The sequence below is a fragment of the Homo sapiens genome, chromosome 5 (assembly GCF_000001405.40).
Source record: "Homo sapiens chromosome 5, GRCh38.p14 Primary Assembly".
In the NCBI taxonomy this organism is placed as follows: Eukaryota; Metazoa; Chordata; class Mammalia; order Primates; family Hominidae; genus Homo; species Homo sapiens.
Window position 1 is genome coordinate 109764851 of NC_000005.10, and position 13396 is coordinate 109778246.

A 13396-nucleotide genomic window follows, 5' to 3' on the forward strand; every position below is an offset into this window, starting at 1 on the left:
TAACTTAATTTTGATATAATTTTTAACTTATAAGTGGCATCATAGTACTTGGGAAGGACTCCCATGTATCTTGTACATTGATTCATATGTATATTTTTCTGAATCATTTGAGAGTAAGTTGGAGGTACCCTGTACCCTTATCTCTAAATACTTCATTGCATATTTCCTAAGAAATAAGGACACTTTTATACGTAAATATAATAAAGTTATCAAATCAGGAATGTTAACAGTGATACAGTAGGACAGTGTAGTCCACAGGCTGTATTCAGATTTTGTCAATTATTTCAATAATGTCTTTTATAAAAGCCGCTTTTCCCCCCACCCAGTCAAGAATGGAATCCATGGTCGTACATTGCATTTAGTTGTCATGTCTCTTTAGTTTCCTTTTATTTGAAACTGTTCCTTAGTCTTTTTTTGGGGATTTCTTGATCTTTATATTTTTGAAGAGTAGATCCACTTTTGTAGAAGTCTCTCTATTTGACTTTGTCAGTTTCTTGATGATGGGATTCAAGTTATTTATGTATTCTTCCTATCTACCTGTTTGTCTGTCTAGTTACAATATCACTGCAGTAATGTGATGTCCCATTGTCCTCACTGCATCATATCAGGAGGCATGTGATGTCTCTGTCCTAGTACTGGTAATACTGGGAACAACTAGTTAAGGTTTGTCTGCTAAGTTTCTCCACTGTGTTAAATTTTTGCCCTTTCTAATTAATATGTGGGAGATACATTGGGAATAAATATTCTATACCTCAGCCATCTCTCATGTTTATGTTTTAGTGTCCATTGATGATTTTCTAATTCCTTCTATAATTGCTAGTTGGCATTCTACTAAAGAGAAGAGCTTTCCTTCTTATTTTCTGTTTATTTATTTATATCAGTATGGGCTCATGGTTAATATTCACTGGGTTATAATGCATTATTTATTTTCACACCTCAGTTGTCCCAGATTTGGCCATTAGAAGCCTCTTTGGTCTTTTCCTGAGTTATTTTAATATGCCCCCATGATTTCTTGACTGTCTCTTTGCTTTATGACGCAAGAATATATTCCAGGCTATCATGTACTTTCCTGGCTTCAGCCTTGGAATAAGCTATTTCTTTCAGGTTTTTTTTTCTTTGTAAAATGATTGGTATGTAGAGGCCAAGATGTGAGAGCTAAGGTGTGGTCATTGGTACTGAGGTTTTATTGCATCTAGGTCCTTCAAGTGCACTGAGTTGGAAAATTTGTGTATGTTTGTGAATATACATACAGATACCTGTATCTATATTTTTATATTTCCTCATGAAAAACCATAAGTTAGTACCGATATCTCCTGTTGTAATGCAATATCATAGGGTACATTCCAGTCTTCCACATTTGTAGTTACTTATCTTACTGTGAAAATTCTGGCTCCCTTGTTCTCATTTGTTCAATCTTAGAATACATGAAAGCTGCCTTCAGAATTGTTAAATCCGTGCTACCACAAAAACCAAAGTTACTAAATAGAGTTCAATATTTCTTTTTAATTTTTGGATGTAAATTACATATGTGAAATGCACAAATCTTATGTGGTCAGTTCTTTTAGTTTTGACATATGCTCTTTTTGAGTTTTGACTGTATACTCTTGGTCCCCTGTAGATCCTGACTTTTCCTTATTGTCCTTTACTGGCTCCCCATGTCTATGTTCTTCTTTAGTGTTGTTTACAAAGTTCTAGTTCTCTTTGTTGTCTTGTGTGTTACTTTGTGTTACACTTATTTGAATGACAGCCTCTGCAAACTAGAGTCAAGATCTAATTTAACTCGTTTTTGTAACTGTGGGGTCTTTCATCATCTTAGGTAAGGTGCTTAAAAGGTGTTTGAATGAAAAAAAATACACACAGCAATATTACTTATGTCAGTTTATAAGTTGTAAGTAGACACTTTATTTGAGAATCCCAAATAATTAAAACATCAGATTTTTATAATGCTAGATGAACAATCTTATTCTAACCAGTACATTTATTATCTTTTTCATTTTTATTTTTTTACATTTTATCCTCTGTGAAATTGAGATATATCTTTAGTCAGTAGTTCACATTATTGGTGTGAGCCAGCTATGAGAAATCACTGGCACCTTTGTAGGTAGAGTGAAAGCACCAGCATCATAATGACTTAAGATTTAATGAAATATGGTATAGTTATTTTGGCCTGTTCTGCCACTGTATCATAAGATGATTTGGGGCTTTTGTAATGTGTAAAAGACAGACTAAAAAAGTCCTTAATGTTGGTGTTGGGAAATGTAAGTTGAAATAGGTACGTTACTTTTCTTTATCATGTAATAGTTCCAGAGTTATCCAGCTCCACAGATCACAGGACTGTGATATCCTTCCAGGAAGGGCCCTGGTCCTGTTTATTCTCTACCTCTAGTTAATGGCAGTGGCTTTATAATAGGTAAAAGATGTTAATGGCTAAAAGATGGCAGTATTTATTTGAACTCTAACTGATTAATTTCAGTGAGCATCCTCTGCCTATGTGGATAGGCAGTGGCACAATCCTCCCTTCATGATATCTTGCTGGGAATACTTGGCAGAGGATAATGCTGGGTAGATCCTTGGTCTGATATCTCTAGGAGACTATACAATGACAATGAGTCTGAATGTGTTGTGACTTCTTTTTATTTCATATATCAATTAAAAAAATTAACACTTATCATCTTTATCCACAGGAGTGAAACCTCGGTCCGGCTGGGCTATTGATCCCTTTGGACACTCACCAACAATGGCTTATCTTCTAAACCGTGCTGGACTTTCTCACATGCTTATCCAGAGAGTTCATTATGCAGTTAAAAAACACTTTGCACTGCATAAAACATTGGAGTTTTTTTGGAGACAGAATTGGGGTATGTAGGGTTTGATGAAAGTTGATCCCATTTGGCCTAGATACTATTTCACAAGGGTTATGAACTCATGCCACTGTGGGTTTTGTTCACTGTCAGTCTTGAAAAATCAGGTGGCCTAAAGATAGTCACTCTCGTAATTATTTTTCCCATGTGCCTGTGTCAAGATTCTTTTAAGTAATAATGCAGATATTTATAGAGCATAGGAGAATCTTTTTATGTTTAAAGAAAGTAGATAAATATAAGGAGTTAGTATTTTGCCAATAATGCTTTCACTTGCTTCTGTTTTAGAAAGCACGTTTTATCACAAATTTGAACATGCATTAGAACTGATATCCAGTCATATATCTTATATTCAGCCAGTGTTCCTTCCTTCTGTCTCTCGTCTCTACATCTTGTAAGAATTGCTTTTTAAAGCCTTAATCCTGTCCTCCTAAAACAGCCCTAATGTCAAAATACCACCTGTCTTCACAGTGTGTTCTGTGGCCACGCAGGCATTCTAAGGATATACTTGTGCAGCTCTTTATTAGGAGAGAGGAGAAAAGATCTAGGCCTCTTGGGAGGCCTTTGCCTTTCTCAACCCCTATTTAATTCAGACCACCTTATTTTCTATTTATTTATCGAGCCTTTATTATGGGCCATGTATTATGTTACCTCTGCTTTATATTCATTCTCATTTAATCTTTTTAATATTATTCTTTTTTTATGGTGAAGCAATGGAGGCTTAGATATGAGAAGCCATTTGCCAAAAGTCATATAGGTCATGCATAGAGAGCAGAGATTTGAATGTAGTTCTGTGTAGTTCCTGAAGCCCAGGCTCCTAACCTCTGTCATTGTGTTCTCAGTAAACTTTCATCTGAAAGAAATATTTTGTTTATAAAACAGTGTTTGAGAAATTACTGCATTACATTATACTTGTTTTCTTGTGTAATCTAGACCCCTTAAGTGTTTCAGAAAAATCATTTGTAAATTTAGACCGTAACTTTCTTATATGTACTCCTGTTTTTTTCAGTAAGGAAAGCATTAGCTATACAGTTTCTTAATTCTAGAAAATTAAACCTGTAGGGAGAACAAGAACTTGTAGGGGATTGCATTCCATATAGTTTGATCAAATGCTAAGGAGCATATTAATTTGAAAAACAAAGAATTTGAAGAAGCCCTACTTAAACAATTGCCCATAAATATCAGTTAGTATGAAATTATTGAGTACTTTTATGTATTTCAGTATTGTGCTAGGAAGAAATGTTGAAAACATCCTTGCTTATAGGGAAATTCCAGTCTAATTTGATAAAATACGGATACAGCCAAATGTAGCAGATAAAATTAAGTATGCAAATTAGCTGCAAAAGAGTAGCGCATAAGGAGAATTAGTGGGGTATGGAGTATGTCCTTATCCATAGGAGAGAAGAGTTTTAGGACTTGTGACAACCTTTTGTGGCGACTATATGCTCATAGCAAGCATTAGTGACCAGCATCTACAGTGTCACCGTTGTGAATATGATTCAGTGAAACAGCTGACAGCACTGAAGTACATAGATTTTAATAGTTTTAAATTTGGAAAATAACAGTTAACTAAATTGATAAAACTGGAATATTTTAGGACTTACCTGATAAATTTGAACATGTTGCTTTTTAAAAAATGTTTTCGAATTAAGTTGAGCTTGTTCACGTGTTCGAGTTCTTAATGAAGCAGTTATTTTCACTTATTAAAAATGTAAATTTTTTTGTCTTTCTGTTACGTAAGCAGTACATACTCATTGCTGAAAATTGGAAATCCATACATAAATAAAGGGCGGGGGCTATTTAAAAGCTCAGGATCATATTCGCAAAGATAGCTTTTAACTACTAGGTAGGTCCTCCAGTCTCACTTGTTGGTAGGCTTCTCACCTCTCCAGGCCAACATGTGATAACATTGTAGTTTTAATTAAAAGTAATTCTGCATCAGGAATCAGTGCTCATTTTCCATATCTTATTCGTTTTGTTTTTATTTTTGTTTCGCTTTTTGAAAATTACTTTTTCTTTTCCTGTGCTTCTTTGTTGGTGAAAAGTCCCATTGACTGACTCATTCTTGGTAAACATGGGGTGAGACTGTAGATTCTCCTGGGTTGCACATCCTCTCCTCACCATAAGAGGAAATTTTCTCCAAGAGTGAATTTCTCCAGTGTTTTTATAAGTCTATGCTCCACACTTCCTTTGTTCTTCCATCCCTTTTTTACTCCGTTCTTCTCACCCAGCCTCTGCAGCTAATATCATGGTATCTCTCAGTGAATTCTGTTACCTGAATTGGGAACAGTTACGGCAGGAACTGGCAGCCAGGGATGGACATAGTTTTGGATGAGCCAGCTGTAACTTTTACGGCTGCTCAGTTTGTATCCCTCCTGGTCAGCTGGCGCTGGTTCATGCTGGGGCTTTCCTGTCTCTGCTATGCTTAGATAGAAGAGGTAGATAGAGACTGAGATGTGTGAGTATCTTCCTTCAGACAGGTGGCCATTAAATACCGCTGGGGTATATGTACTGGAAGTTAAAGGGGCTGCTGATTTAGCACAGAGCTAAATCAGCATTACTTTGTGTAAAGTAATGACATTTTGAATATTTTTTGGGAAAACAGATTTTATAAATGCAGGTTTGTGTGTTGGCTCTTTATTTTAGATCTGGGATCTGTCACAGATATTTTATGCCACATGATGCCCTTCTACAGCTATGACATCCCTCACACTTGTGGACCTGATCCTAAAATATGCTGCCAGTTTGATTTTAAACGTCTTCCTGGAGGCAGATTTGGTTGTCCCTGGGGAGTCCCCCCAGAAACAATACATCCTGGAAATGTCCAAAGCAGGTATGAAAATGCGTATTTCATAAGACAACATCTTGAATAAAGTAGCCACTTAGCTGCTAGTTGCTGAAGGGTTGAACAAATGGGCTTTATTAGCCAACATTATCCTTGTTTGAAGTATTCATTCAAACCAGATCTAAAGCAACTTAAAAATGCCAGAGCCTTGACTATGCCGGTTATGTGTTACATTTTAATGGAAAGTGAACAATACTAGATCAATATACAATGGATAACCTATAATACACTATTATTACCATCTCCTTTGCCCTCATTATAAAAGCCTTCTACTGTGTTTGATTGATTTCATATACTTTTGTTGAATAAAACTTCTGGTCCCTATTGTACAAATTGGTAAGAAAAGCAATTCAACTGCAAAAACACATTTATTGAAATGGAGCACATAAAGAGTGTAATTATCTGTTCCCTTAATAACAATTTCAATAATAGTGAATGCTTCCCAGCTCTGGTGTATACACATCTTTGCATCATTCTGATGTTTTTGACTTACAGTAAACTTTAATTAGGAATATTTATACTTAAATACATTTAAATAAAAATCAAAGGTATGAATCATTTCTTTAGAAGAAAATTGTGCTAATGATGGAAGCATCTCATTAAACCAACTTACATGTAGTTTCTAATATTGGTACTTTTAAAGTTTAATTTCTTCACTTAAAAATTAGTAGTGTATTAAAATGAAACATTGTGGTGTAATATAAAAACACTAAACTCTGCTAGGAAAATAATATAGCCCATTAAATAAATTAAATAAATTTATTTTTGCACTATTAAATCAGTTTATTTTCAAAAGAGAAGTCACTTAAAAAAAAGTGTGTGAGGAAGAAGGTGAAATGAGATCTTTTTACCTTCAATGAGTCCTTAGAATCACAAAGATTTTCTTTGTGAGCCTCTCACTGTGGCAGACATGAAGGTGTTTTAGCATGGCAGCCTTCTTAAAGTCATGGAGCCCTTCTATCAAAATGTGACTTTAATAGTTATTTAGAAAAACTGCCCAAGGTTAGGGATTGACTTGATTTCATTTTCTTGGTTCCTACAGCCATGAGAACCACTGAGGAATTCTGAACAACCTGCTTTCTAGCTAGGGTTGGGTTAAGTAGGCATAAGAGAATAAGCCAGTATATTGTGTGGTGGAAGGTGTAATAAAAAGGAAGGGTTGAGTGTGGGGGCACCCTGGCCTGTGTAGGTGGGCAAATAGCTGTTTATATTTACAGGTATTTACACTACTCTCTGCTCAGGTGACCAGGGATGGGGAAGTTCTTAAAAGTGAACAAGATGTTTCAGCTGGGGAGTCCCAGTGCATTCATAGTATTGTGAGCCCTTTGTTCTTTTTTTGGGGGGTGCTACTGAGACTACCTGAGGCACATTATTGAGGAAAAAAAGGCTTTTTTATAATCCTTTTGCTATGTCATCTAACCTTTCAACAATTGCCCCTCAGGATGATACCTTGTGCTCATTTAGTTCCAGTGGTTTTGAAAGTGATTTCCAGGCACCTGGGGGCATACTGTTGAATGAGTCTATATAATACTTAGAGATTTTTTCTTTTTAAACTTCTTGGCCGGGCGCAGTGGCCCATGCCTGTAATCCTAGCACTTTGGGAGGCCGAGGCAGGCGGATTTTCTGAGCTCAGGAGTTTGAGACCAGCCTGGGCAACATGGTAAAACCCCATTTCTATGGCGGCGTGTGCCTGTAATCCCAGCTACTCAGGAGGCTGAGGTAGGAGAACTAATAGAACCTGGGAGGCAGAGCTTGCAGTGAGCCGAGATCTCTCCACTGCACTCCAGCCTGGGTGACAGAGTGAGACTTCGTCTCTAAAATAAACAAACAAACAAACTTCTTACAAGTATTGAAATGTTAACTCTACTGGTTACCTCAGATCCATATATCACCTTCGTTTTGACCTGATGATGAATTGAGATCAAACACAGGCATTCCAGCTCATTGGCCCCTTTCAAGCTCCCCACTTTTTTTGAGACAGGTTCTCTTTCTGTCACCCAGGCTGAAGTACAATGACACAATAGCTCACTGGAGCCTCCATCACCTGGGCTCATGCAATTCTCCCACCTCAGCCTCCTGAGTAACTGGGACCACAGGTACATGCCACAATGCTCGACTAATTGTTTTAAAAAATTTTGTAGTGACGAGGTCTCCCTGTGTTGCCCAGGATGGTCTTGAACTCCTGGGGTCAAATGATCCTCCTGCCTCGCCCTCCCAAAGTGCTGGGATTACAGGTATGAGCCACCATGCCTAGCCCTGTTCAATTTGTTAACGTCCCAAAGAAAATGAAATTTAACCATAATGTACAGATGGCATCTTTTGATATGTCCAGCTCAGCAGGTTCTTCTACTTTGCAAGTAAAGAAATATCATTCTTTGTCAAGTTCATTTTTGGTCAAGTACTATATATTTTAAGTTGGCTTTTTCTATTGACCGTCACGTGATTTGATGTTTCGGGGATTTTATTTTTCTTGGTTACAGTTAAGTTGACATTTCTTACCTGGTAAAATAAATCAGGAGCAAATTGCATCTGTATGTTTTCAAATGTGATGTTGGGTCAATTGATTTGTTATTGGTTCCATATATTTACCATATTACCATTTACCAATTACCATTGGACCATATATTTAGTGAGTGTCTTCTTCCTGCCAGGCGTTACAGGCTGGTTACTTGGCTTTCCCAGTGTTGACACTTTCTGGACAGGCTTGAGAGTTAGGATAGATGTGAAGTGTTAAAGGCATGCCATTAACGTTTGTGATTTCTTTTCTTTATATGTGCTTTACACATATGTATACAAGATACTCTATATCTAATAGTAAACCCTTTTTTATGCTGGCTGCCTAGGAAATCTAGTTGGAGCTCAATTATATCTTATATCTATGATTTATATATTTGATTATTTTTACTCATTTTTTTTTGGTAGCCTTCTTTCTATGTGGTCAATCTCATTCTTCATGTGTTTTTTATCGTAAGTAACCTAAAAGTGTTTTGGCAAATGTGGAATGTTAGTAAATTACTAGTAAAGATAAAGTAATGTGCTAATGTCAGAAAACTAAGCATTATATGTTACATAAGGACGCTGTGGTTATATTTTACTCACCAAGGTATTATGTTACTGCTAAAATTTTATATTTGCAAAGCAATTTCAGAGATTACAAATGTAAAAAGGACCATATGAGATTTAAATTTAGTTAAATGTTTATAATTTTTATAAGATGCTTCATTCTGTCATTGGTGTTCTTTGAGATACTTTCGTAAGTTTTTATATTGTGAATTAGAATTTACTTTTGGATGATCCTTGAAGTGAAAATTATAAAAATACTTGTCGTTTAATCACTGATTTCTTAAGCTTTGTCTTTGTAAATATTGTGAACTGCTTTGGGTTCATCCACTTGTATAATTTCATTTTCACAAGCCCTTTGTCTTAGTTTGTATTCTCAGACTTTCTTAAATGATGCCCTAATTCAGTGATTTCCAAAGGACATTCTGCAGAATACTATAATAGAATATGAAATACAAAAGCTATTCCATCAAGCTATTGGTTAGAGTCCAGAGAAGTAGAAACCAAAATAACTAATTCAACTCCTAATCCTTATCTGATGGTCAGTATTGAAAAGGACACTGTGACAAATACTCAGATTATTGGTGGCAGGTGACAAGTGTGTGGATTTTTTTTTCTTTAGAAGAGGAAATATGACTCTATAAAATGTTACAGATTAACATTTATTCCCTTTTGGTTTTGTTCAAAGTACACTTTTTTCTATGTTTAATCAGATAATTTTAGATTAGAGAAAGGAATATTAAGACAAAGCAAACTTCAAAGTCTGTATATGTGGGAAGTCCTTATTGTCTTACTAGATAAATCATTTTAACACCTGGGCTATCTGGTATTCAATCTCTGTGGCTGGGCTTTAGGAAGTCCTTGGTACCCCACTTATTATATGCCAAGTTGGTACATGACCATATTTCTCCAAAGATAATCCATTGGAAACCTATGAGTTTTTCCTTCTGATAAGAATTTATGAATATTTTTAAAGGATAATGAAAATTAGTATGATAGTTTTAAAAAAATCTGTCTTTAAATTATACTAACCTTGCAGATAGATAAAATATACAGTTTCTTTTAATAAAATGTACTTTTGAATTTGGTTATTTCCTTTTTAATCAATTGTCACATTCACTTTTTCTTAGTCAAATTCATATTTGCTGTTTTTTTGTGTTTGTTTTTTTTGTAGGGCTCGGATGCTACTAGATCAGTACCGAAAGAAGTCAAAGCTTTTTCGTACCAAAGTTCTCCTGGCTCCACTAGGAGATGATTTCCGCTACTGTGAATACACGGAATGGGATTTACAGTTTAAGAATTATCAGCAGCTTTTTGATTATATGAATTCTCAGTCCAAGTTTAAAGTTAAGGTAAGGAGAAAATATTTATGATTCCGTATTTGAAATTGAACCTTTATTATTAAATGAGACTATAAACAGAAATCCTTAGCTTCTTTGTCCTACATCACAGTGCTTCTTAGAATATATAATTCTTGTGTAAAATATAATCCATTAGGAAGAAAATTATTATATGCTATAGTTCCATATCTAAAGTTGTCCCGTTCCTAACACTCCTTGAGGATTAAAGAGGAATTTACTTTTATGTGATTGAAAATATGTACCTACCAAGTTGTGATATTTAGTCTTCAGGGACTTACTGTTTTTGTTGTGCTTGTTTTGTTTTGTTTTGTTTTTTTACCAACATTGAAAGTCTGTTATTTCTCTCTGACAGCTGCATCCTTGTGATTTAGTAGCATGACTGGCAGATGCAGATGAACATGTCATGAATTTTGCAAACAAATGTCCTATGTCCAGAGAATACACTAACATTTTTTTTTAAGTGAGAAGACTTCTAAAATTAATCGTTTGCCTATGGTTCTTACTCTTTTTTTTTTTCTTATGGAAAATTTAAAATGTACTGTAAAGTTCTGAAAATAGCAAAAATTGTTCCCCTTCTCCCCATATCCATGGCTCAGCTGCAGCATTCTTCAACTCAAGACCACTCTTGTTTCAGCCATGCCACACTGCTGTCTCACTCCTCCCCATAGGATTATATTGAAGCCAATCTCAGGTTTCATATAGTTTCACCTGTAAATATTTCAGTATGTATCTCTAAATTATAAAAGTTCTGTTTAAAAATATAACGATAATACCATTATCACACCTAAAAAACTAACAATAATTTCATGATACATATCTGGACAGATTCAAATTTTCCTCATCTCATAAAAAACAATTCTTTTAACACATGCTTTGTTTGAGTCAAAATTCAAGCAATAATCATATATTGCATTTGATCAAGTTTTTAATTACAAAATTGATTTTTTATTGATACATAATTATATATATTTATGGGACACCTATGAATTTTGATACATGCGGAGAATGTATAATGATCAAATCAGGGTATTTAGGATATCTACCACTTCAAACTTTTATCATTTGTTTGTGTTGGGACAACAGGCTTTTAAAGTCTTTTTTTTTTTTTTCTTTTTAAATGTGTCTTAGAGACTCTACATAAGAAGATTAATTATTCAGCATGTTTATTATTTCACATATTGACATGTAAAAGTAGAACATCTGTGAAAATACTATAGAAAGGAAGTGATATTACTGTTTAGGAAATTTGAAAGCTGATGGTGAACTATAGTTTAGTAAGAATTCAAGTTTATTAAATAAACCTAAGTAATATCAAATAGATAAATAAACCTAATAAAATATCAAGTTTATTCAGGATTGTTACAGCTGAATTTTTATCAGATTATGAACTCGGATCCTAGGGGTATGTTTAAATTATCCGTGTATTTTCCTGAGAGATGATGCTCATACATGAATATGTGATCAGAGGAAGGGATATATATATGAGTATCTTATCTGTAATTACATCTTACTAGGAAGTGATTTTGGTTCATAGAAGCATCTGGTCTCCTGTCTGACTGAAAAAATTAGACCCTGATTTTAGTATTCTACCTATTTCATCCTTTGCCTACTAGAACAGTTTTTTAAAAGTCATTTAAAAAATTGAAGTGCCACATACATAGAAGAAGTGGACAAACCATAAGTGTGCATAGAATTTTGCAAGTTTAAAAGTCTCCATGTAACCATCATCCAGATTAAGGCTTAGAACTTTTATTGTCCCTCAGATCTCTTTCCAGTCATCACCAACTGCCGCAAAAGCAACCACTACTTTCACATCTGTCACCATGATTACTGTTGCCTGTTCTTGAATTTTATACGATGGGGACCATACACATGTACTTTGTGTCTGGCTTTTTCTTTTCACATTATGTTTGCGAGAGTCATCCATTCTGTTGCAGGTAGCAGTAGTTCATTCCTTTTTAGTACTGTGTAGTATCTCTAGTATTCATTTTTTGATGAATATACCACAGTTTATTCATTGTATTGTTATTGGGTATTTGGGATTGTTCCCAGTTTTTGTCTATCACAAATAAGTCTGCTTTGAATATTTTGTCCATGTTTTGGTTACTTGTTATGAGTTTACATGGGTATAAAATGGGATGTAATTTTTTGGCCATTGAGTATGCACATGTTCAGCTTTAGTATATATTGCCAAACTGTTCCAAAATAGATGCATCAATTGTGTTGTACAAGAGGTTCAGTTGTTCCACACCCTTTCTCAGTTTGTATTGTCAGGATTTTTGTTTTCCATTTTTATCCTTTTGATAGATGGGATGGTTTTATTTTTTATTTCTCCTGTGGTTAATGAGGTTGAGTCTCTTTTCATATGTTTATTGCCATTTGAGTATCCTCTTTTGTGAAGTACCTATTTAAGTCTTTTGATGATTTTTTAATTAAATTGGGGTTGTCTTTTTCTTACTGTTTATAGCTCTTTGGTACATTTTGAATTCTATCTTTTTTCATATAAAAGTTATGCAAATGTTGTCTCCTACTATGTAGCCTGCATTTTCACTTTCTCATGCTGTCTTTTGATGAACAGAAATTTTTAATTTTAATTAATCAAATATAACTATTTTTCTTTATGTTTAGAACTTGTTCTGTTTGAAAAATTTTTGTTTATCATTTGGTTCTGAAGCTACATTCTTATGAAGCTATCCTCTAGAAGCTTAATTGTCTTGCCTTCAACATTTAGGTCTATAATCTATCTGAAATGGATTGCTGTGAATTGTGTGAGGGTAGGGATCAAGATACATTTTGGCTTATATAGATATCCAGCACCATTTATTGAAAAGACCATACTTTCTTCCACAGCACCACAGTGTCATCTTTGTCATTAATCATGAATGAGACTGCATTTGTGTGTGGGTCTGTGTCTACACTCTCTATTCACTTTTATTGGTCTGTTTGACTCATCTCACACTGTCTTAATTATTAACACTACAGTTTTATAATAGGTTTTAATATCTGATAGTAAAAGTCTTCCAGTTTGTTCTCCTTCCCAAAATTGCATTGGTTACTGTTAGTCCTTTGTAATTCTACATAGGTGTAGGTCATCTTTTAAATTTCTACCAAAAAAAAAAAAATTGAAGGGGATTTTGAGTGGGATTGCATTGAATCTTTGGTTTGATTTGAGCACAAATAACTACAATTATTGGGCCATCTAATCGATGAACGTGGTGTATTTTGTGTATTAATGCAATTGATTTTTGCATTTTAGCCTTGTATCCAGTAAC

The 13396-nt window shown here is 34.6% G+C and overlaps 1 protein-coding gene across 5 annotated transcripts in view; it reads left to right on the forward strand.

Moving 5' to 3' along the window:
* Positions 1-13396, forward strand: part of MAN2A1 (mannosidase alpha class 2A member 1) — a 179699-nt gene that overhangs the window by 74924 nt on the left and 91379 nt on the right. For all 5 annotated transcript variants that reach the window (XR_007058604.1, NM_002372.4, XM_011543395.4 and 2 more), the window contains 3 exons: positions 2685-2858; positions 5505-5691; positions 9938-10115. Coding sequence is in view for 4 of the 5 variants with exons in the window: in NM_002372.4 (NP_002363.2) it covers positions 2685-2858; positions 5505-5691; positions 9938-10115 (539 nt within the window). In the remaining variant the exon portion in view is untranslated. The remainder of the gene's footprint in view (positions 1-2684; positions 2859-5504; positions 5692-9937; positions 10116-13396) is intronic.